At 36.2% G+C, this 22,704-nt stretch overlaps 1 long non-coding RNA gene across 1 annotated transcript in view, besides 1 other annotated feature; it reads left to right on the top strand.

The window, feature by feature from the left end:
• The first annotated feature begins 708 nt into the window (after positions 1–708).
• LOC105370219 (uncharacterized) overlaps positions 709–22,704 on the top strand; it is a 31,681-nt gene continuing 9,685 nt past the window's right edge. The window contains exon 1 of the long non-coding RNA XR_941985.2: positions 709–822. This is a non-coding gene — a long non-coding RNA (uncharacterized LOC105370219). The remainder of the gene's footprint in view (positions 823–22,704) is intronic.
• Positions 4,781–5,622: an enhancer, noted in NCBI's record as "OCT4-NANOG hESC enhancer chr13:59254028-59254869 (GRCh37/hg19 assembly coordinates)". NCBI's record gives its function as "activates a minimal SCP1, AML or CMV promoter by ChIP-STARR-seq in naive and primed H9 embryonic stem cells {active_cell/tissue: H9 hESC(naive and primed)}" and the evidence as "EXISTENCE:reporter gene assay evidence [ECO:0000049][PMID:30033119]".

The following is a 22,704-nucleotide window of genomic DNA, read 5'->3' as shown; positions in this document are numbered from 1 at the left end:
TCTCTTCTAATGTGTCAAGGGATATGGCAATCTCCTATCAGTAACAGTGGTCTATTAATGAAATTCTTCTCAAGTAGAAAGACAAAATATACTCCACCATAAGTTGCATCGAAACCTTGATGAAAGGAGATGATCAAGCATGGGATTAGTATTCTCTCCACCAAGAATTTACAAACCCTTTCTTAATTTTGTGAACAAATGTGAGTGGCTGGGTATGACTATCACTGTCTATGAAACTAACTTTTCAAAAGATTAGTCATTTATCCACATAATCCTTTAAAACAGGCTGGTCAGTGTGAGCAATAATATATTTGAGAACCTGACAAAAATATGGTAACAAAATACTAACACTTTGGATATCAATCATTGTAAAAAACAAAAATGTAAGCTTCATGAAAACGAGCTTTCCTCTCCGAATTAGCTTCATTGATTAGAATTGTACTTGGCACATGGAAGATCTTGCCTAATAGTATTATTTTTTAAATGGCTTATTAATTATGTTATAGTAGAGTAAAAAACACAGTTTTTAAAATCATACTCATCTCAGTTCTAATCTTGGATTGGCCATTTGTTAGGTGTCCCTGAACAACATATTCAAACACTCTGTCTCAGATGCTCATCTACAAGATGAAGCACAAATAGCTACCTTATAGCCTATTCATAATATGGTAGAAATAAAATTTCATTCTGTTGCTTTTTCAGGTCCCAAGTTGAAGAATCACAGCATCAAACTAGCAACTTCCAGACCAAGCAAATTTGCCAGAGTCCCTCTGCAGTCATTAGAAAGAAAACAGTTGATCCACAGGACTATTCAAATGGAGGGTAAGCAGGCCTTTGCCTGTCCCTCTGGCACACCAAACAGCTCTGCCCACAACCATATTAATACAATCAGGTAGAAAATTGTCAATATCAACACTCCTCTTTTGTTTATAAAATAATTGATTGGATGTATTATTCCAGGAAGGATGTGTGGCATATAGGCATCCCTTATTTGATGATGCAACCTTAACTAGCCTAGTTCAAGTTTTCCAAAGGCTTCCTTTATGTTTAATCTTCTAAAGTCTCCTTAACTGTTTTTACACATTGTAAATAAGTCTCTGGTACTCTCAGACCCAAGAGTATACTGACTCAGATTTATTTTGAGAAATAATCTTGATTTTCCTAGAAGTACTGAGATGGCTTTACAAAACCTTATCTCATAAGTAAATACCATGCATTTTTATTTTTAGCCTTATTCCCAATCTCCCAAGGCTAAAGAAATTAAATATCAAAATTATATTTAACTGACATTAAGGCTTCAATACATATCAGCACATGCTAGCAAATTTGTTTAACTGACTTAGCTCTTGCTTGTTTCTTTAAATCACTTTTAAGGGTGTAAACCTAAAATATAGCACCAGCTTTTTAATTTTCCCCACATTTTATAAGTTTGGTACTATTTAGAACATTCTATGTGCATCCTGTATTTTTTCTCTACATGATTATATGTCAGGTGTTCAATGAAGTTGCTTAGAAATTGGTAGGAAGACAACATAGAGAGTAATATAAAAACGTGGTTCAGAAAATAGAATATACTTGAAGTAAAACCAAGTACCTATGGTCAATAGGTGTGTATGTTCATGGCTGATGCAAGACCTTGGTTCTTGTCTTCTTAGTTTAAAAGAATATAAACAAGAGACACACAGCAAAGGAGATGCAGCACAGAGTAATTTATTGCAAAGGGGAAAGAACATTTTGAAAGTGATCCGGGAGTGCTGGGAAGGGAAGAGTGTGGTCTCTTTAAATGATAAGGAAGGAGGGAAGAAAAGTGCTGGATAGAGGAAGGGCATGGTCCCTGGCTAGGGCTCCACCCCCACCGACCTAGGTGAGGAAAGTCATTCCTGCCTTTGCGCCCAAATGTTGCATTTCCCAAGACCACCCTGACCCACCATGCCCTGATCCTGTGCCTATAAAAACCCCAGGGACTCTAGCAGGCAGACACACATGTGGCTGGATGTTGAGAGGTTGTCCAGGGAATCACATCGCAGAACAGCAAATCAGCAGGCATTTGCAAGCAAGCAGGCCACTGATTGGTGGAAGGAGGCGGAGTTAATCTGGGACAGTCAGAGGAGAGCCCAGGCTGCCCATTCTACCAACTCCAGGGGAAAATCATCTCCCTTCTGGCTCCCCCCATCTGCTGAGAGCTACCTCCTCTCAATAAAACCTTGCACTCATTCTCCAAACCCACGTGTGATCCAATTCTTCTGGTACACCAAGTCAAGAACCCAGGATACAGAAAGCCCTCTGTCCTTGCAACAAGGTAGAGGGTCTAATTGAGCTGCTTAACATAAGCCGCCTATAGACGGCAAACTAAGAGAGCACCTATAACACACGCCCACTGGGGCTTCTGCTGTAAACATTCACCCCTAGACATTGCCATGGGATCGGAGCCCCCATGGCAATACATACAGCCTGCCCATATGTATGCTCCCCTAGAGGTTTGAGCAGCAGGGCACTGAAGAAGTGAGCCATACTCCCATCAAACGCCCTGCGAGGGGGACAAGGGAACCTTTCCCATTACAAATGTTAAATGCAGAATAGACAGTACATCCTGAGAGAGAGAGAGAATTCAGGGTCGGCTGCTTATAAGGATGAAACAGTAAAGACTGGCACTAGAGAGACTCCCTTTATGGGAGTCTCACATGATTATTCATAAGGGAAGAAGTGTTATTAGTAAGCATGTTCTGGGAGGTCCTTTGGGTGCACATGCATAGTAGCTTTACATGTTTGTTCACAGGTTGCATGTCTCATTAGCATCTTAAATCTCCACGTAGGGGTGTTTTTTGTGTTTTTTTTTTTTGTTTGTTTGTTTACTATTATAATGAACAAAAGGTTATTCTGAGGACAGGTAAAATCAAAATGTGCATTCTCCCTATAGAGGAAATTCCCTACTGGAGATAGCTTTGCTTGATTGAGCTTGACTACCATGCAGATGCTGAGGCTTACTGTGTTAATTATACGGTTCCATGGTTGCCTTGTCCTGAGAACATGGTTACTTTCCTGACTACCTACCCTGCCTCATGTGTACCTGAGAAGCTCAAGCAGAAAAAAGCAGGAAAATTTGAGATGTTTTTACATTTAAGATTTTCTTAATTTCAATAAACCTTCTGCTTCGAACTTACAAGATAATATATTTATCAATATGCTGACATTGAAATAATCTCAGGTATTTAGAAGAATATATACATGAAATTCTGGAGCCAGGAGTGGTGGCTCACGCCTGTAATCCTGGCACTCTGGGAGCCCGAGGTGGGCGGATCACGAAGTCAGGAGGTGGAGACCATCCTGGCTAACATGGTGAAACCCTGTCTCTACTAAAAATACAAAAAATTAGCCGGGCATGGCAGCACATGCCTGTAGTCCCAGCTACTTGGGAGGCTGGGGCAGGAGAATTGCTTGAATCTGGGAGGTGGAGGTTACAGTGAGCCCAGATCACACCACTCTACTCCATCCTGGGCAACAGAGAGAGACTCCATCTCCAAAAAATATATATATATCTGACATAGTCCCATGACTCAATGTTTTGTACACCTCTCTTTTGTGCACAGAAAATTAGAATTTTTCATTAAATATTTTTTTTTGAATGGGAGTTTTCTGGATATATAAGTCGTAAAAATGCACAAGCCTATCCGTGGTCCATACTCCCTATTTGAGATCCTCAGTGCCTTCAGATCCCATTTCTAATTTTGAGTCAATTATGTGTATCACTAGCAGCTCAATCAATTAAAAAAAAAAGTTTCTGAAACTGTGTTCCTGGCTGTCTGCCCAAAGAAAACCCTTCTTTTTTTTTCTGGATTCCCTCTTGGTGCGCACTTAATCAAATTAACTCCAAATAGAAAAAGTGATATAGAGATCAAAGGAAAATGTTTAACTATAAATTACCCACACACCTCTTGGGAAAGCATTATCTCCCTTTAGATTAAGAGTGAAAGTGTTTCTTTCTCTTGTATTCATTTTGAATCTCCCCAGTGTAATGTTCAGAATATATAGAAAAGAGGATATAAAAAAATACAGTCAGAAGGCTGTCTTCTGGTTATTGATATTCTCCAAGCATTAGTCATCAAGATGCATGTGATAGTTTGGGAAACGGTAAAAATAAATGCAATGCCTATATTTTAAATTCAACAATATACTTATAAGATATCATGTAATCATACCTTACTCTCATTTTGACGATATTAACTGATATAGTCTGAATTTTTTTTGGAGACCAGGAAATATTACAGGATTATGTTTTAGGGTAAATTTATTAATGACAAATTTGTTTTGTTTTTATTTGCATTAAAATGTTCTACTGATGTTGGTACTATTTTTGCTGGTTGGGTGCCCACATTCCCAAACTGCCTCTGCAAGTGACACTAATTGGCAAGTCTTTTGGCAGTCACAGCAAGGAGACAAATGACCATTGGACAGAGAAACTAAACAAGGTATTACCTGCAAGTTAGAGTTAAAGTGCAGAGTTAGGAATCTATATTGCCATTACATTTGCTTCCACTTGATGTCAAGAAGTGAGAATCTGGAATTTCCAGGCTGTTAATTGAAAATTGTTCATAGGTATCATTCTAAACATAAATTTATCAAATGTTGGCTTCTGTATGTAACAACTAGAACAAAGAGTGCCAATAAGAAAATCAGGCAACTTCATCATTACTATAATCATTACATGAACTTTGAAATCCTTTCTGGCATACAATTAAGTGCCATTGTTTTAAGCTTATACAAAATATTTTAACAGCATGATCCTGGCTTTCCTAGATACACATTTCCAAGTGACTATGACAGATGGGTACACACTGTCAATGTTTTAGGTAGTCTGAGGAAGAACTACACAGGTGACTAGTCTCCACAGACTTGGACTTTAGGAGACTTTATTTTTAAATGGACTATTGTATAGGGGTTCAGTCAGGATGGTGGGAAAAATTGTAAAATAAATACAAACTTTCTTGGAAGGCCAGAAGGTTTTTGCAAAAGCCTCAGGATAGAGTTATGGGGAAGGCAGCCTAATCCTCTTTGAGCTATAACAAGGGTAATTAACAAAGGAATGTAGAAGAGTCTAAATAGTTTGTTTATTCATGTGGTCCTAAGACTAACCTTTGACCATCCATGGGTGTATGATTGCTCTCTCCTCAGGGGGTTGGCAATGGTAATTACCTTCTGGTAGTGTTCACTTGAGACTTTTGTCATTTAATGTGTGCTGAATAAATGCAGGGAAGGCTAGCAAGTCAGGCCGAGTTTGCAACTCTTTACAGCACTCTCCTGGGAGTCTGTAAGCGACCCAGACTCTCAACCAGACTGACAAACATAATATCTGTGTCAGTGTACGTTATTCAACAGTCGTTGGGTCAGGGTCTGTGGGATGGACCCCACAGCATTGCAAATGGTCAAAGAACTCCCCTTACCTTGTTTTCTATCTACAAGATACATTAAAGACCATCAAGTTTAAATTGAGGACGCAGGAATGACACAATTATGCCAATTGTGAGCAGCAGATATTTTTGGTAGCATAAGTGAGGTGTTTGAGTTTCTTATGTTATTTGTAGTTACCAGTTTTTCTCCATCTTAATAATTGTTTTTAATACTATATTCTTGGAAGGCACTCCATGAAGCAGGAGGAATAATGGTAAAGGTGGGCATCAAAGCAAAAGGAAACCTAGTAGATGTCTTGGATTGGCTCTTGAGATTTCTATTTTGTTTGACTTTCTCACTAGCATGAGAACCCTAGAGGGCATTATGTTAAGTGAAGTAAGCCAGGTATAGGAAGACAAATACCACATGATCTCACTCATACGTGGAAGCTAAAATGTTAATCTCATAACAGCAAAAAGTAGAATGGTGGTTACCAGGGGCTGAGGTGATTAGACTGGGGCTCAAGAAGAGCAGAGTTAAGGGGATGATGATCAAAGGATACAAAATTTCCAATAGGAGGAATAAATTCAAGAGATCTATTCTATAACATGGTGACTAGAGCTAACAACATATTGTATTCTTAAAAAATGGGAAGAAAGTGAATGTATTCCCACCACAAAAATGATAACTATGGGAGGTAATGCAAATGTTAATTAGCTAGATTTAGTCATTACACAATGTATATATACATGTGATGTTGTGCATGATAAATACAATTTTATCTGTCCATTTAAAAATTAATTGTATATATAAACATATACATATATACATATATAATTTGTTTATGTAATTATATATTTATATTATATACATATATGTATATAATATGTGTGTAATATATACATATATTATAGACTATAATTATATACATATATAAATTATATATAAACATGTATATATAAACAGTGTTGTGCATGATATACAATTTTATTTGTCAATTTAAAAATTAATTAATTTTTTTAAAAATTAGTAGCTCAAGACAAAGTTCTACTCAGTAGAATGTGGTAGCTGGAAACCTAGACAGATGTAGCTATGCTCTTGAATTCTGCCTTAACCATTTAAAAACTGTGTGAACTGCGGCAAATAACGGGACTCCTCCAAAGTCTTAGTTTTTTCACCTGTATACTGGAGAAAACACCACCTCATGATTCTGTTATGAAGAATAAAGTAAATGTCATATACAAAGAATGGTATTTGCCACTTTTGGAAGTGCTCAATATGTTGTAACCAACATTATTAGCTTGGAAAAGAAAAGGAGGAGTATATCTGACCTGGCATTATTTTCCCTCACTGCCCCGTAGCTCATAATACTTAAGTGTGATGGCTTATGAGTTGATGGCTGAAGAAGTCTAGTAGAATATAAGCAAGCTAATTCCACAGCTCTCATAAGAAAGAGAATTGTCAATAATAAAAACTTAGGGAGCTTCGGAGCCAAGATGGCCGAATAGGAACAGCTCCGGTCTACAGCTCCCAGCGTGAGCGACGCAGAAGACGGGTGATTTCTGCATTTCCATCTGAGGTACCGGGTTCATCTCACTAGGGAGTGCCAGACTGTGGGCGCAGGCCAGTGGGTGTGCGCAACGTGCGCGAGCCGAAGCAGGGCGAGGCATTGCCTCACCTGGGAAGCGCAAGGGGTCAGGGAGTTCCCTGTCCGAGTCAAAGAAAGGGGTGACGGAGGCACCTGGAAAATCGGGTCACTCCCACCCGAATATTGCGCTTTTCAGACTGGCTTAAAAAACGGCGCACCACGAGACTATATCCCACACCTGGCTCGGAGGGTCCTACGCCCACGGAATCTCGCTGATTGCTAGCACAGCAGTCTGAGATCAAACTGCAAGGCGGCAGCGAGGCTGGGGGAGGGGCGCCCGCCATTGCCCAGGCTAGCTTAGGTAAACAAAGCAGCCGGGAAGCTCGAACTGGGTGGAGCCCACCACAGCTCAAGGAGGCCTGCCTGCCTCTGTAGGCTCCACCTCTGGGGGCAGGGCACAGACAAACAAAAAGACAGCAGTAACTTCTGCAGACTTAAATGTCCCTGTCTGACAGCTTTGAAGAGAGCAGTGGTTCTCCCAGCACGCAGCTGGAGATCTGAGAACAGGCAGACTGCCTCCTCAAGTGGGTCCCTGACCCCTGACCCCCGAGCAGCCTAACTGGGAGGCACCCCCCAGCAGGGGCACACTGACACCTCACACGGCAGGGTATTCCAACAGACCTGCAGCTGAGGGTCCTGTCTGTTAGAAGGAAAACTAACAAACAGAAAGGACATCCACACCGAAAACCCATCTGTAGATCACCATCATCAAAGACCAAAAGTAGATAAAACCACAAAGATGGGGAAAAAACAGAACAGAAAAACTGGAAACTCTAAAACGCAGAGCGCCTCTCCTCCTCCAAAGGAACGCAGTTCCTCACCAGCAACGGAACAAAGCTGGATGGAGAATGACTTTGACGAGCTGAGAGAAGAAGGTTTCAGACGATCAAATTACTCTGAGCTATGGGAGGACATTCAAACCAAAGGCAAAGAAGTTGAAAACTTTGAAAAAAATTTAGAAGAATGTATAACTAGAATAACCAATACAGAGAAGTGATTAAAGGAGCTGATGGAGCTGAAAACCAAGGCTTGAGAACTACGTGAAGAATGCAGAAGCCTCAGGAGTTGATGCGATCAACTGGAAGAAAGGGTATCAGCAATGGAAGATGAAATGAATGAAATGAAGTGAGAAGGGAAGTTTAGAGAAAAAAGAATAAAAAGAAATGAGCAAAGCCTCCAAGAAATATGGGACTATGTGAAAAGACCAAATCTACGTCTGATTGGTGTACCTGAAAGTGATGCGGAGAATGGAACCAAGTTGGAAAACACTCTGCAGGATATTATCCAGGAGAACTTCCCCAATCTAGCAAGGCAGGCCAACGTTCAGATTCAGGAAACACAGAGAACGCCACAAAGATACTCCTCGAGAAGAGCAACTCCAAGACACATAATTGTCAGATTCACCAAAGTTGAAATGAAGGAAAAAATGTTAAGGGCAGCCAGAGAGAAAGGTCGGGTTACCCTCAAAGGGAAGCCCATCAGACTAACAGCAGATATCTCGGCAGAAACACTGCAAGCCAGAAGAGAGTGGGGGCCAATATTCAACATTCTTAAAGAAAAGAATTTTCAACCCAGAATTTCATATCCAGCCAAACTAAGCTTCATAAGTGAAGGAGAAATAAAATACTTTACAGACAAGCAAATGCTGAGAGATTTTGTCACCACCAGGCCTGCCCTGAAAGAGCTTCTGAAGGAAGCGCTAAACATGGAAAGGAACAACCGGTACCAGCCGCTGCAAAATCATGCCAAAATGTAAAGACCATCGATACTAGGAAGAAACTGCATCAACTAATGAGCAAAATCACCAGCTAACATCATAATGACAGGATCAAATTCACACATAACAATATTAACTTTAAATGTAAATGGACTAAATTCTCCAATTAAAAGACACAGACTGGCAAGTTGGATAAAGAGTCAAGACCCATCAGTGTGCTGTATTCAGGAAACCCATCTCACGTGCAGAGACACACATAGGCTCAAAATAAAAGGATGGAGGAAGATCTACCAAGCAAATGGAAAACAAAAAAAGGCAGGGGTTGCAATCCTAGTCTCTGATAAAACAGACTTTAAACCAACAAAGATCAAAAGAGACAAAGAAGGCCATTACATAATGGTAAAGGGATCAATTCAACAAGAGGAGCTAACTATCCTAAATATATATGCACCCAATACAGGAGCACCCAGATTCATAAAGCAAGTCCTGAGTGACCTACAAAGAGACTTAGACTCCCACACATTAATAATGGGAGACTTTAACACCCCACTGTCAACATTAGACAGATCAACGAGACAGAAAGTCAACAAGGATACCCAGGAATTGAACTCAGCTCTGCACCAAGCAGACCTAATAGACATCTACAGAACTCTCCACCCCAAATCAACAGAATATACATTTTTTTCAGCACCACACCACACCTATTCCAAAATTGACCACATAGTTGGAAGTAAAGCTCTCCTCAGCAAATGTAAAAGAACAGAAATTATAACAAACTATCGCTCAGACCACAGTGCAATCAAACTAGAACTCAGGATTAAGAATCTCACTCAGAGCCGCTCAACTACATGGAAACTGAACAACCCGCTCCTGAATGACTACTGGGTACATAACGAAATGAAGGCAGAAATAAAGATGTTCTTTGAAACCAACGAGAACAAAGACACAACATACCAGAATCTCTGGGACGCATTCAAAGCAGTGTGTAGAGGGAAATTTATAGCACTAAATGCCCACAAGAGAAAGCAGGAAAGATCCAAAATTGACACCCTAACATCACAATTAAAAGAACTAGAAAAGCAAGAGCAAACACATTCAGAAGCTAGCAGAAGGCAAGAAATAACTAAAATCAGAGCAGAACTGAAGGAAATAGAGACACAAAAAACCCTTCAAAAAATCAATGAATCCAGGAGCTGGTTTTTTGAAAGGATCAACAAAATTGATAGACCACTAGCAAGACTAATAAAGAAAAAAAGAGAGAAGAATCAAATAGACACAATAAAAAATGATAAAGGGGATATCACCACCGATCCCACAGACATACAAACTACCATCAGAGAATACTACAAACACCTCTACGCAAATAAACTAGAAAATCTAGAAGAAATGGATACATTCCTCGACACATACACTCTCCCAAGACTAAACCAGGAAGAAGTTGAATCTCTGAATAGACCAATAACAGGAGCTGAAATTGTGGCAATAATCAATAGTTTACCAACCAAAAAGAGTCCAGGACCAGATGGATTCACAGCCGAATTCTACCAGAGGTACAAGGAGGAACTGGTACCATTCCTTCTGAAACTATTCCAATCAATAGAAAAAGAGGGAATCCTCTCTAACTCATTTTATGAGGCCAGCATCATTCTGATACCAAAGCCGGGCAGAGACACAACCAAAAAAGAGAATTTTAGACCAATATCCTTGATGAACATTGATGCAAAAATCCTCAATAAAATACTGGCAAACCGAATCCAGCAGCACATCAAAAAGCTTATCCACCATGATCAAGTGGGCTTCATCCCTGGGATGCAAGGCTGGTTCAATATACGCAAATCAATAAATGTAATCCAGCATATAAACAGAGCCAAAGACAAAAGCCACATGATTATCTCAATAGATGCAGAAAAAGCCTTTGACAAAATTCAACAACCCTTCATGCTAAAAACTCTCAATAAATTAGGTATTGATGGGACGTGTTTCAAAATAATAAGAGCTATCTATGACAAACCCACAGCCAATATCATACTGAATGGGCAAAAACTGGAAGCATTCCCTTTGAAAACTGGCACAAGATAGGGATGCCCTCTCTCACCACTCCTATTCAACATAGTGTTGGAAGTTCTGGCCAGGGCAATCAGGCAGGAGAAGGAAATAAAGGGTATTCAATTAGGAAAAGAGGAAGTCAAATTGTCCCTGTTTGCAGACGACATGATTGTTTATCTAGAAAACCCCATCGTCTCAGCCCATAATCTCCTTAAGCTGATAAGCAACTTCAGCAAAGTCTCAGGATACAAAATCAATATACAAAAATCACAAGCATTCTTATACACCAACAACAGACAAACAGAGAGCCAAATCATGAGTGAACTCCCATTCACAATTGCTTCAAAGAGAATAAAATACCTAGGAATCCAACTTACAAGGGATGTGAAGGACCTCTTCAAGGAGAACTACAAACCACTGCTCAAGGAAATAAAAGAGGATACAAACAAATGGAAGAACATTCCATGCTCATGGGTAGGAAGAATCAATATCGTGAAAATGGCCATACTGCCCAAGGTAATTTACAGATTCAATGCCATCCCCATCAAGCTACCAATGACTTTCTTCACAGAATTGGAAAAAACTACTTTACAGTTCATATGGAACCAAAAAAGAGCCCGCATCGCCAAGTCAATCCTAAGCCAAAAGAACAAAGCTGGAGGCATCACACTACCTGACTTCAAACTATACTACAAGGCTACAGTAACCAAAACAGCATGGTACTGGTACCAAAACAGAGATATAGATCAATGGAACAGAACAGAGCCCTCAGAAATAACGCCGCATACCTACAACCATCTGATCTTTGACAAACCTGAGAAAAACAAGCAATGGGGAAAGGATTCCCTATTTAACAAATGGTGCTGGGAAAACTGGCTAGCCATATGTAGAAAGGTGAAACTGGATCCCTTCCTTACACCTTATACAAAAATCAATTCAAGATGGATTAAAGATTTAAACGTTAGACCTAAAACCATAAAAACCCTAGAAGAAAACCTAGGCATTACCATTCAGGACATAGGCATGGGCAAGGACTTCATGTCCAAAACACCAAAAGCAATGGCAACAAAAGCCAAAATTGACAAATGGGATCTAATTAAACTAAAGAGCTTCTGCACAGCAAAAGAAACTACCATCAGAGTGAACAGGCAACCTACAACATGGGAGAAAATTTTCGCAACCTACTCATCTGACAAAAGGCTAATATCCAGAATCTACAATGAACTCAAACAAATTTACAAGAAAAAAACAAACAACCCCATCAAAAAGTGGGTGAAGGACATGAACAGACACTTCTCAAAAGAAGACATTTATGCAGCCAAAAAGTACATGAAAAAATGCTCATCATCACTGGCCATCAGAGAAATGCAAATCAAAACCACTATGAGATATCATCTCACACCAGTTAGAATGGCAATCATTAAAAAGTCAGGAAACAACAGGTGCTGGAGAGGATGTGGAGAAATAGGAACACTTTTACACTGTTGGTGGGACTGTAAACTAGTTCAACCATTGTGGAAGTCAGTGTGGCGATTCCTCAGGGATCTAGAACTAGAAATACCATTTGACCCAGCCATCCCATTACTGGGTATATACCCAAAGGACTATAAATCATGCTGCTATAAAGACACATGCACACGTATGTTTATTGCGGCATTATTCACAATAGCAAAGACTTGGAACCAACCCAAATGTCCAACAATGATAGACTGGATTAAGAAAATGTGGCACATACACACCATGGAATACTATGCAGCCATAAAAAATGATGAGTTCATGTCCTTTGTAGGGACATGGATGAAATTGGAAACCATCATTCTCAGTAAACTATCGCAAGAACAAAAAACCAAACACTGCATATTCTCACTCATAGGTGGAAATTGAACAATGAGATCACATGGACACAGGAAGGGGAATATCACACTCTGGGGACTGTGGTGGGGTGGGGGGAGGGGGGAGGGATAGCATTGGGAGATATACCTAATGCTAGATGACGAGTTAGTGGGTGCAGCGCACCAGCATGGCACATGTATACGTATGTAACTAACCTGCACAATGTGCACATGTACCCTAAAACTTAAAGTATAATAAAAAAAAAAGAAAAAGAAAAGAAAAATAAACAAGAAAAAAAAAAAACTTAGGAATATGTAATTTGTTTACTGCCATATCATAATTTTAAATTTAAAAATTATAATAATTATAAATATAAATCTGATAAGGTACTATTAGATTCACATAGTCACTGTCATTTTTATCAAATGCTGTTTGTCAAATAGCATGTCCTCTCAAGTATAATATAAAACTCAAGGGCCATTAAAAGTTGAGATTTTTTTTGGTGCCTTTCTGATAAATGTTACAAGCAGTAACTGATTACCTCTGTGTCTCTCTTCCTCCATAAATATGTATATATAGCTTAAAATATGAAAATCTTATATATTTTCTCATGTAAGAGCTCAAGATTTCTTCAAATATAACATTAGATTTAAATCAGGAAAATTTAATTAAAAGAATAAAAATATACAGCCTAATTATTTTGCTTCATGGCATTTAAGCTTCTTTATATGTAAGGCAAACATTTCAGCAAATATTATATTCTTCATTCCATCTATGAATCACACCTACCTGACAAAAACTGTTTTACTTGGATAAACAGTTAAAAGAAAGTGTTATAAAAAGAATTAGCAGACAATGAGGCAGGTTTTATATGGAACCTTTCCTATAATATTTTAGAATACATGTAGATAAAAAAATGTTAACAGGACTGATTTGTTTCAATACCAGAGAACTATGTCCTTTACCCATGTATCTACACAATTTTTAATTATTCATATATTTCATTAAAAATTACTTTCCCAAAGCATTTTTATACTGTATCAACATTTTATGCATGTTAAAATTGTAAAAGATAGTAATTAAAAATGTATGAGAAATCAAATATAAATTGAAATCCTAATAATTTTCTCAAATACCCCAGCATATCTCTGGCATGTGCACATTCCAAGTTGGATACCAATCATTTGGTAATAAAGTTTTATATTATTTGTTTGCTCTCTGTATATTTTGCCCTAAATTCTAAAAATTCTAAATGTAATTAAAATGTTTTTAAAATTTAGATTTTTATGCCTCTGGATGTGTGTTTGTGTTTTGTGTGTGTGTGTGTGTGTGTGTTTGTACACATGTATATATCTGTGATTATTCAAGGCATATACACAGAAAGGTTAATAAAATAATCATTAGGCAATTTGTGCTAAATACAAGTTTTTTATATGCAGACTTGGATGGATGTAAATGTGCTCTAAAATAATGTTTAAAAATCAATCTCTAAACACAGTCTTTATGCATATATCTTCATTAAATAACTTAAATATATATTTATCTATGTAATTTGATGATGGTTGCAAGTTATGAATTGACATAATACCTTACAATTGTTGATGGATTTCAACAGCATTTTTTAAATTAATCATACATTTATTGGTGGCTTCTGGTAAAAAAAAAATTAGACAAGTACTGACTGGTTGAAAAGTACTATATCATTGAAGTACAGTGGCATGAAGATGAAATGGATAAAATTAGATGAGTTTTTAATGCTAGTAGATAATCCGTGATTTAATGCTAATAGACCTAACACATTTTCAAAATAGCTTGACCTTTAACTCATGATTCCTATATATTTCAGATGTCAGCAATCAGGAAGTGATGAAGATTAGGGCAGCCACCTCAAGGAATTTGATTGACAAAGATGTGCGTCCAAAAAGAATGATATTGATTTAATTATAAATAGCTGACAAATTGTTAAATATCATTCAAGTCTTGGTAGCTTACCTTTTACCAAGGCTGCTGCTGCAGTGCATTTATAGCATGCTAAAAATTACCTCAAGTTTATTAGAAACTCTTTTGAGTTTCAGGAATGAGAGTCTTTCTTGGCCAAATACAAGATAAAACCCTTGAATATGTTCCTTGTATGATTTTGTTTGTAAATGTATTCTATTAGGGTGAAGAATGATCCACCAAAACTACAAAATCATTGTTGCCTGTTTTAATCTGAGTTTGTGGCATTGCTTATTTTGCATGCTATTTGTCTTTACACTTTCCATTTATTTCCAGATTAAATACTATTGTATGATAAAAGAATCAGAAGGAAAAATAGCTATTTCCTTGGACTTTTTGTTGGGCTTTTTAATTGATGAGAAAAACAGTAGGGCACAAGATTGTTTTGAGGTAGGAACTGAACTATAAGCTTTGTCATACTGACCATCCTTAAGTGACATAAGTTCAATTACTTTCTTCCATGAATCACACTCCAATAATATCAGTTGGAAATACTAGGTTAACAATAGGTCTGTAACCCATAATCTCTCTTTTCAGTGACAGAGATGGCCAAGTCAAATATCTCTCTATGCAAAATCTCTTGGTAAATGCACTTAAAATATTTATGAGCAGAAAGATAATGGCAAATTCATAACTTGGAAATGTTTTTGTCAGGATACATGTGGTCTCTCTGTGATGTTAAGGAACCCAGAGTTTATGCTTTTAAGGGGCATGGCTCACTGATAGATGTCTCATATGTTATATAGTAATAGAATATTAAAAAGAGATGCTCCAAAACTGAATGCATTCCTCTCTTCACACAATGATCTGCATGCATTACTTGTATATCACGTACAAAATCTATACCAGAACATTTCCTAATCTGGGAGAGAAATAATATTTGGAAAATTACATTGACAATGGCAAATTATGCTAGGGGAAGAATGCTTGGCCTGTCTGTACTATTGCCTCTGTCTTTAAATCAGTAAACTTGGTTCTCCCTATAATCTTTCATTTGTGTTAAGGGCAATTGGACAATTTGGTCCTTTTTATTATTTACAAGGCAACATTCTCTTTCCTCTTCCTAAAAAAAAAAAAATTGCAAAACTTATTTTGTGTGAACGTAGCCTACTCTTTTTTTCATTGATTTTGTTCTAATTTATTGGCTATTTTACATTGCTTTTCTTTTGGGAAATACGTAAGTTTTGCTTCCCTACCTACACTGGTACCTCTTTAGCATAAAGGGAAGTGTATAGCTGGTGATCAAGTATCACTTAAGGAGCGAATGAAATTTTCAGATGGTGGATTAGGTCTTCTTTGAAAATCTCTTTCAGAAGGGAATTAAATGACACATGGTGGTAAGAAAAGTGAAGATTTAGCTGACGAGAAAGCTGTTAATGCTCATCAACACAGACACTTTTTTATAAAAGGGTAAAGGTCAGCTCAGTGATTAAACTGGGTTGTTTGATTTCCTCTTCCAATCATTAGCTTTGTTGTGGGCAACAAAATGGAAGAAGCATTGGTCAGAGTTTGCACAAAGATAATCCAGTTCAGCCAAAAAGTAGAATGAGTTGATAGAAGGAAGCAAATGAACAAACAATAACTAAGAGAACCCACATAGTGCTATTAAATATAGGTGTAAATAGTTCTAAATCTTTTTACATTCTTTCAGGATATAATGTCATTATACAAAGTTTAAATTTGAAATTGTAATTCTGTGCAATCCATGTTCAAAGTTTTCCTAACAAGTATGAAAAGGAGGCTTTCATAAAACTAATCTAAAAATGACAGTATTTTAGAAAAAAAATCCATCAAAACATAGTTACTTTATCAATTATTATACTACATGGTAAATATTTGCATAATTTTCTGTTCTGTATTGTCACCTCTTTGAGCAACATCTTTTCAGTTATTCACTGGGTAAGAACTCCTTTTTCCTTGTTCACAGTGATTATTCACAGTGACCATTCAATAAATATTTTAAAACTAAGTAGATGAATGCAGGACATTCAATTTTTTATTACAAAATGGTCCAGCACATTTTACAATAATGCTCAATAAATAATTATTTTAAAACTATGTAGCATACTTAAATTAGAAACTAGGAAATGTAAATTGATTGATAGGTTTAGATAACTGTTTCCAAATGCTTAGTCTTTGGGTTATTTGGTGTTAATAGTGAAAAGGATTTCCTGCACAGGTAAGTTTAGGAAACTTAAATATTTATTATTGCTGCAACATTTTCAAAACCTCTAACATGCTAATATACATTGAGAATGATGAAAAAATATAATATTAATTCAGAATCTTATTCATTTTAGGAAATCCTTAGACCTCAAGGCACAATTTAGGGAACCCGGTTTTTAAAAAATTGATTTATATAAAAAATTAATATTTCCTTTTCAAAACTCCATGCAGAATCAGTAACCAGTCTTTCTTGCAATTTGGAATAGTGTTTTTAAATGGTAATGTTTCCTAGGGTAAGTAAGAGGCAGTGCTGGAATCCAGAATTTTACTGTGGTAATGGCAAAGCATTTACAAAAGAAACCAAATTAAACTGATGGCCATAACCACAATTTATTTTATGAAATATCATTTTCTTTGGATCTCTGGGATTCTATTGACTATAATGCAATTATGACTAATCCAAAAATTTATGGAATTTTACAATTTGGGGGACAAAGCTTGCTGCTAGTCCAGTCTGGGAAGTTACTAGCAAATTATCACTGATCATTTTACATAATTTTTGACTCTCTTCATAAAGCTGGGGCTTTTGATTTTAGTTCAATTCCTGCTATTTACTTGAATCTCCTATAATACGTAGTTTTTGAAATTTAGCTTTAATGCTTTCATTTTTTTAAAAGTCAGAAAATGGAGAGTTATATCTAAGTATTCTTTCATAAGAGTCAAATTAATAGGTGAGTTGAGAAAATAATAAATTTGTAGAGTAGAACTAGAGGCAAGAAATAACAATTTCTTTTATTTCATATGTTTTCATGTGCTACTTTCCTTCCTGCTTCAAGCCAAGTCTAAATGGACACTAGATTTTTAATGTGACCTAGCATAATATGTTCTAGTTTATTGGAATGTAATGAAAATAGTGAAATTTTTACAATGAAAAATTGCACTTTATCAGAGATGCTGCTAAGCTTTAGAAATGAAGAGAAGTCTTAGACATTGCCAATTTTTATAATCGCTTCACACTTTATTGCTACAATAATATTTATTGAGAACTAAAATTGCAGGCACTATCTAAAAGACAGATGAAACAAGATCTTCACAATGTGCGTATGCAGTTTAAATTATACAGCAAATTGTTGGACCTAAAAATGTTTAAAAATAGACTCTAGAGAAAAGATGGTTATTAACTGAAAAAGAAAAAAATTAATTTAGCATAGAATAACCTCTGAAATCTTTACTTTCCTCTCCAATTATCTTTCATTTTAAATGCATTCTAGAAGTAATAGAATATGTGTATTTCTGTGTATAAATGTTTATATCAATTACACATAATTAATATATCATACTCAAAACCATGTATCAGCACCTAGTGCTGAGCCTAGCACATAACAGATGTTTAATAAATACATGAAAAACCTTTGCTGCATGTTGGCTTTGTGCCGGTAGCTATCTTCACAGAAACCAGAAACAGAGAATCTGGTTAGCAAATGTAGACACTTAGGAACAAAAACCAGTAGAAATAGTACATAATTCAGCACGTTCTAAAATATTATATCACTTTTTTAAAAAACAATGGGTCATCATTTGAAAATAATCATGGAGAAGTCTATTAAGAAGGTAATACTGGGACAGCATCAGCAAAAGCATTGTGTCAAGAAAGACAAAGCTGAGACTGTTTTTAGCCTTTCTGTATATCAAACTTGTTAATAACTGTATGGGCTTATCACAAAAATTTTAGCCTACAAGCTCTGAAAAAACAGGTCCATGACACCAAATTTATAATCATTAACTGGTTAATCCAGCTTCTGCTATTCATCATATAGTCAATTAAATATTTTATAATAACAATTCTGTCTAACAAATGGATCAAAGTTTGTGTTGGCCAGGATGTTCTTCTTTCAAAAGAATGGTTATTCTAGGAAACTTCACGCAATTAGAAACCAACCTGAAATGTCATGGAAAGGACAGAGGCTTTCAGAAATAAGCTTGTGTTTGCTAAATGAAAATTCTTATGAGGTTGTTGGAGTTTTCTGAGTCCTCTCTTCCTGAGCATACTGCCTGAAACCTGCTTTGTTTCAAATCTCCAAGTTATTCTTTCTTTCTTTTGATTGTTCCATTGGGTCCACTTTTTGTTTCAGGAGGAGATCCTCTACTAGGCACTAATCTTTCTTTTAACATCCTTTCAGTTCCAGCAACTATCTTTGTGGGAAAAAATATACTCAAGGGAGACAGTTCTTGGATTAGTAACTCGCAGATGGAGCATGAGAAAGGAAGTAGGAAAAAGTAATAAAGTTAAGAGAACAGTTTTTTAAGTGCTTGATTGGAATCAGCACCACTTTCACTGGCTGCTTCTTTTTTTTTATTGACATATTTGTCAAGATCTGTTCAGAAACAGGGCCTAAACACACCTTAAAATCTCAAAGTAATGATTAAACAACTTTATGCAATTTTCATCTTATAAAGTGATTTTGTTAGCTGATAGGATATAATAATGCCAATAATTCTTAATCTTTGTACATAGTAATGTCATTATTTTTATATGTAGAGGACTTCACAGTTTTTGTTTTTGTTTTTGTTTTTGAGATGGAGTCTCACTCTGCCACCCAGGCTAAAGTGCAGTGGCGTGATCTCAGCTCACTACAACCTCCGCCTCCCAGGTTCAAGCCACTCTCCTGCCTCAGCCTCCCAAGTAGATGGGATTACATGTGCCACTACACCCAGCTAATTTTTCATATTTTTATTAGAGGCGGGGTTTCACTACGTTGGCCAGGCTGGTCTCAAACATTGTGATTCACCTGCCTCAGCCTCCCAAAGTGCTGGGATTACAGAGGTGAGCCACCACGCCCGGCCCAACCTGACAGTTTATAAAGCACATTATAAAATAGTTGCACTTGATGTTGACGGAAATATCTTGGAACTACTTACTTGATAGATAAAGTTTCTGCATCACAGAGAGAATGTCACATAACCTATAGGATTTTATAACTTTGACTAGAAATCAGGTGTTTTGACTATGAATATTGTAATTTTTCAAATATCTTATCCTGTAGAACTTAAGTCAGATGCTCTATAGAGCTAAAGTTGACCCTGAGACATCACTTCAGCTTCTGTCATGACCTTACCTGATACCCCGTAGGGTCTAAGGCTTAGATTACGGCCACTCTCTGACTTTCAAGGTTCTCTTTAAAACACACACAATCCTACCAAAAAGTATGGGAAAAATTTTCATAGTGAAGCTTAATCTGGATTTAAAATTTTACCTTTTGGTATGGAGAAAGTTTTAAGAAATAGGCAATCAGAAATGCTGGTCCATTTTGAAAATCCAAAATGACTTTGAGTGGCAAATGGAGTAACCACTAGATTTGTCGACTCTTCTTGAATTGGATGGATCCTTAATTTCTTGGACTCATTGGGAAAGACCCCACTCCTCCTCCTAGAGCAATCCCAAAATAACATGAGCCAATCAATGTGTTCCAAAATCTATTACTGGGGAGCCTAAGTCAGAGATATCAGGGCTACTGCAATTCAATTTCTAACTCGAGCTATTGTTGAAATAGATGCTTTTATCTTTTGCGTAGAATTTTAATTTAGAAACATGTTGTGTAGAAGAACTTTTCAGTTATATGATACAACAATTTTCTTTATTGTTTAAAATACATTGTGTATTTTTTTAACATTTTAACTAAAAGTACCCTAATTGATACAGCAACAACATTTAATTGACTTCTCTTAAAGACAAAACAATGTCCTGAATCTTGGCAGAGCAGCAGCTTCTACCATCTCTTAATAAGCCCTTAATTACATCATAATGAATCAACCAGCTGCCATTATTATTCACATCTGTTTGTTTTTACCTTGCTTACTAAAATAATAAGAGGAAAGCTGGTGCATTTAAGTTTTCGTCTTTTAAGAAAGTTATCACTGAAGAAGTGGTACTTCTCAAAAAAGAAATTTTCACAGACGTTTTGATTTCACTATATCTTTCTTAAATGAATATTTTATCAATAAACTCTAATCATTATGCAATGCATTTTCACTAAATTGTTTTTTTTACCTTTAATTGGTGTCGTCTACTAGTCAAAAAAATGTTGGCATTTTTGTTTGAAGAGGAGGTGAAATCATTGTATTTGCCTGACATGTAAGTTCTAAACTCTATGCTCTAACAATTAGTTCTGAAAAATTTATAGTGAGTCTATCATTTCTAGATTAGATCTTCTTTCATCTGATAGTGTCGTAGTAATCATTTTCTAATGCTTTAGATACTTTTCTCAGTAGAGTAAGCATTGGGATAAAAAAGGTTATTTGAGGATATAACTGAATATTTAGATGTAGGCAGCATAACACAGGTAGAAGTGTACTGTTTTTAGTGTCTGAAAACCTGTATATGAAAAAAAAAAACAGATGTCAACTCCACTGAGTCAGTCATCTCATTCTTTTCTTTTAACTCTGTTCTTAGATGTTATGAAATTTCCCCAAAGGGAGATTCTGTTGCACTTGATATTACCTTAACTCAAGGTGTATTCTAAAAGACAACCATTCTATTTCATAATTTGGCCAATAAAGAAATAAAATTGAAATATCAGAGGAGATGATTATTGAGTAGTTGGATCAAGCACTGGGAAACCAGGAATATGTGCTGGAATTGGAGAAATGCTATAGAGTTATCATAGGAACGTTCTGAGCAGGCTATGTGAAGACACATCACAGTTGACCTGTGTGTGTAATGTTGCAAAATTCTCTGAAACCTCAGCCAGCAATCAACTGATCCACAGAAGCATAATGATGCTCATGGTAGCCTAAAACATACTCCCCCTTAAAGAAGACACAATTCTAGTCTATTATGCAACATAGAACAAAATTTACTAAAAACATGAATATATTTTAAAATATGAATATATTCCATATATGAAATATATATTTCATATGTTTTTATATATTCACACATATTTCAAATATATATATTTCATATATATGTTTTTGTATATTCATATATATTTCAAAGATATATATTTCATATATATTATATATCTTATATATGAATACATGAAATATATATTTCAACATATATGAATACATATGAAATATGAACATATTCTTACGAATATAATATAATTTACTTGCAAATTTTTCTGTTCTATGGATATAACACTATTTTAAAATATCCTATTGTTTACATTTAGGCAGTTTTAAATTCTGTAATATTATAAATAATGCCTTAATGGTAGGTTGGTAATAAAAAAGGTCTTCAAAAATTCATGAAAAATGAATATTATGAAAAAACTATGTATAAATTTCAAAAATATTTTACACCAAAATAAACTCATAGTAGTAGCTTTTTGTAACCTCTGAATAGAATCTAGGTTGAGGCACTAAGAAGGATAAGATATCAGTTTGAAAAAGGCCCTATCAGAGCAACATTATTTTTCTGCTAAAATTGAAACAAGAACAAACATCAAATTTATGAATAATCTAGGGTGGAAGAATGGTAAAATCATTAATGGTTTACCAAAAGTTTATAGGGACAATGCCCCAAAGAAATCAGCAGTTTACACATGAATAACTCATTTTAAGAAGGGACAAGACATTGAAAATAAAGCTGGAAGCGACAGACCATCCACATTAATTTGTGAGGAAAAAACTAATCTTATTTGTGTGCTAATTGGAAAGAACCAGCGGATTCACAGCAGAAACAATATTCCAACACCATAGATATCTCAACTGGTTCAGCTTGGACAATTCTGGCTGAAAAATTAAAGTTGAGAAATGTTTCCACTGGATGAGTGCCAAAACCATTGTGCCCAGATTAACTGAAAACAGAAGCAGAGCTTTCTCTCTCTCTCTTTCTTTTTCTTTCTTTCCTTCTCTCCTTCCTTCCTGTCTTTCTTGCTTGCTTTCTTTCTCTTTCTTTCTTTTCTTT

The sequence above is a fragment of the Homo sapiens genome, chromosome 13 (assembly GCF_000001405.40).
Source record: "Homo sapiens chromosome 13, GRCh38.p14 Primary Assembly".
NCBI classification, from domain to species: Eukaryota; Metazoa; Chordata; class Mammalia; order Primates; family Hominidae; genus Homo; species Homo sapiens.
Note: the sequence above shows the minus strand (reverse complement) of the source record. Positions and strands in the feature narration are given on the sequence as shown.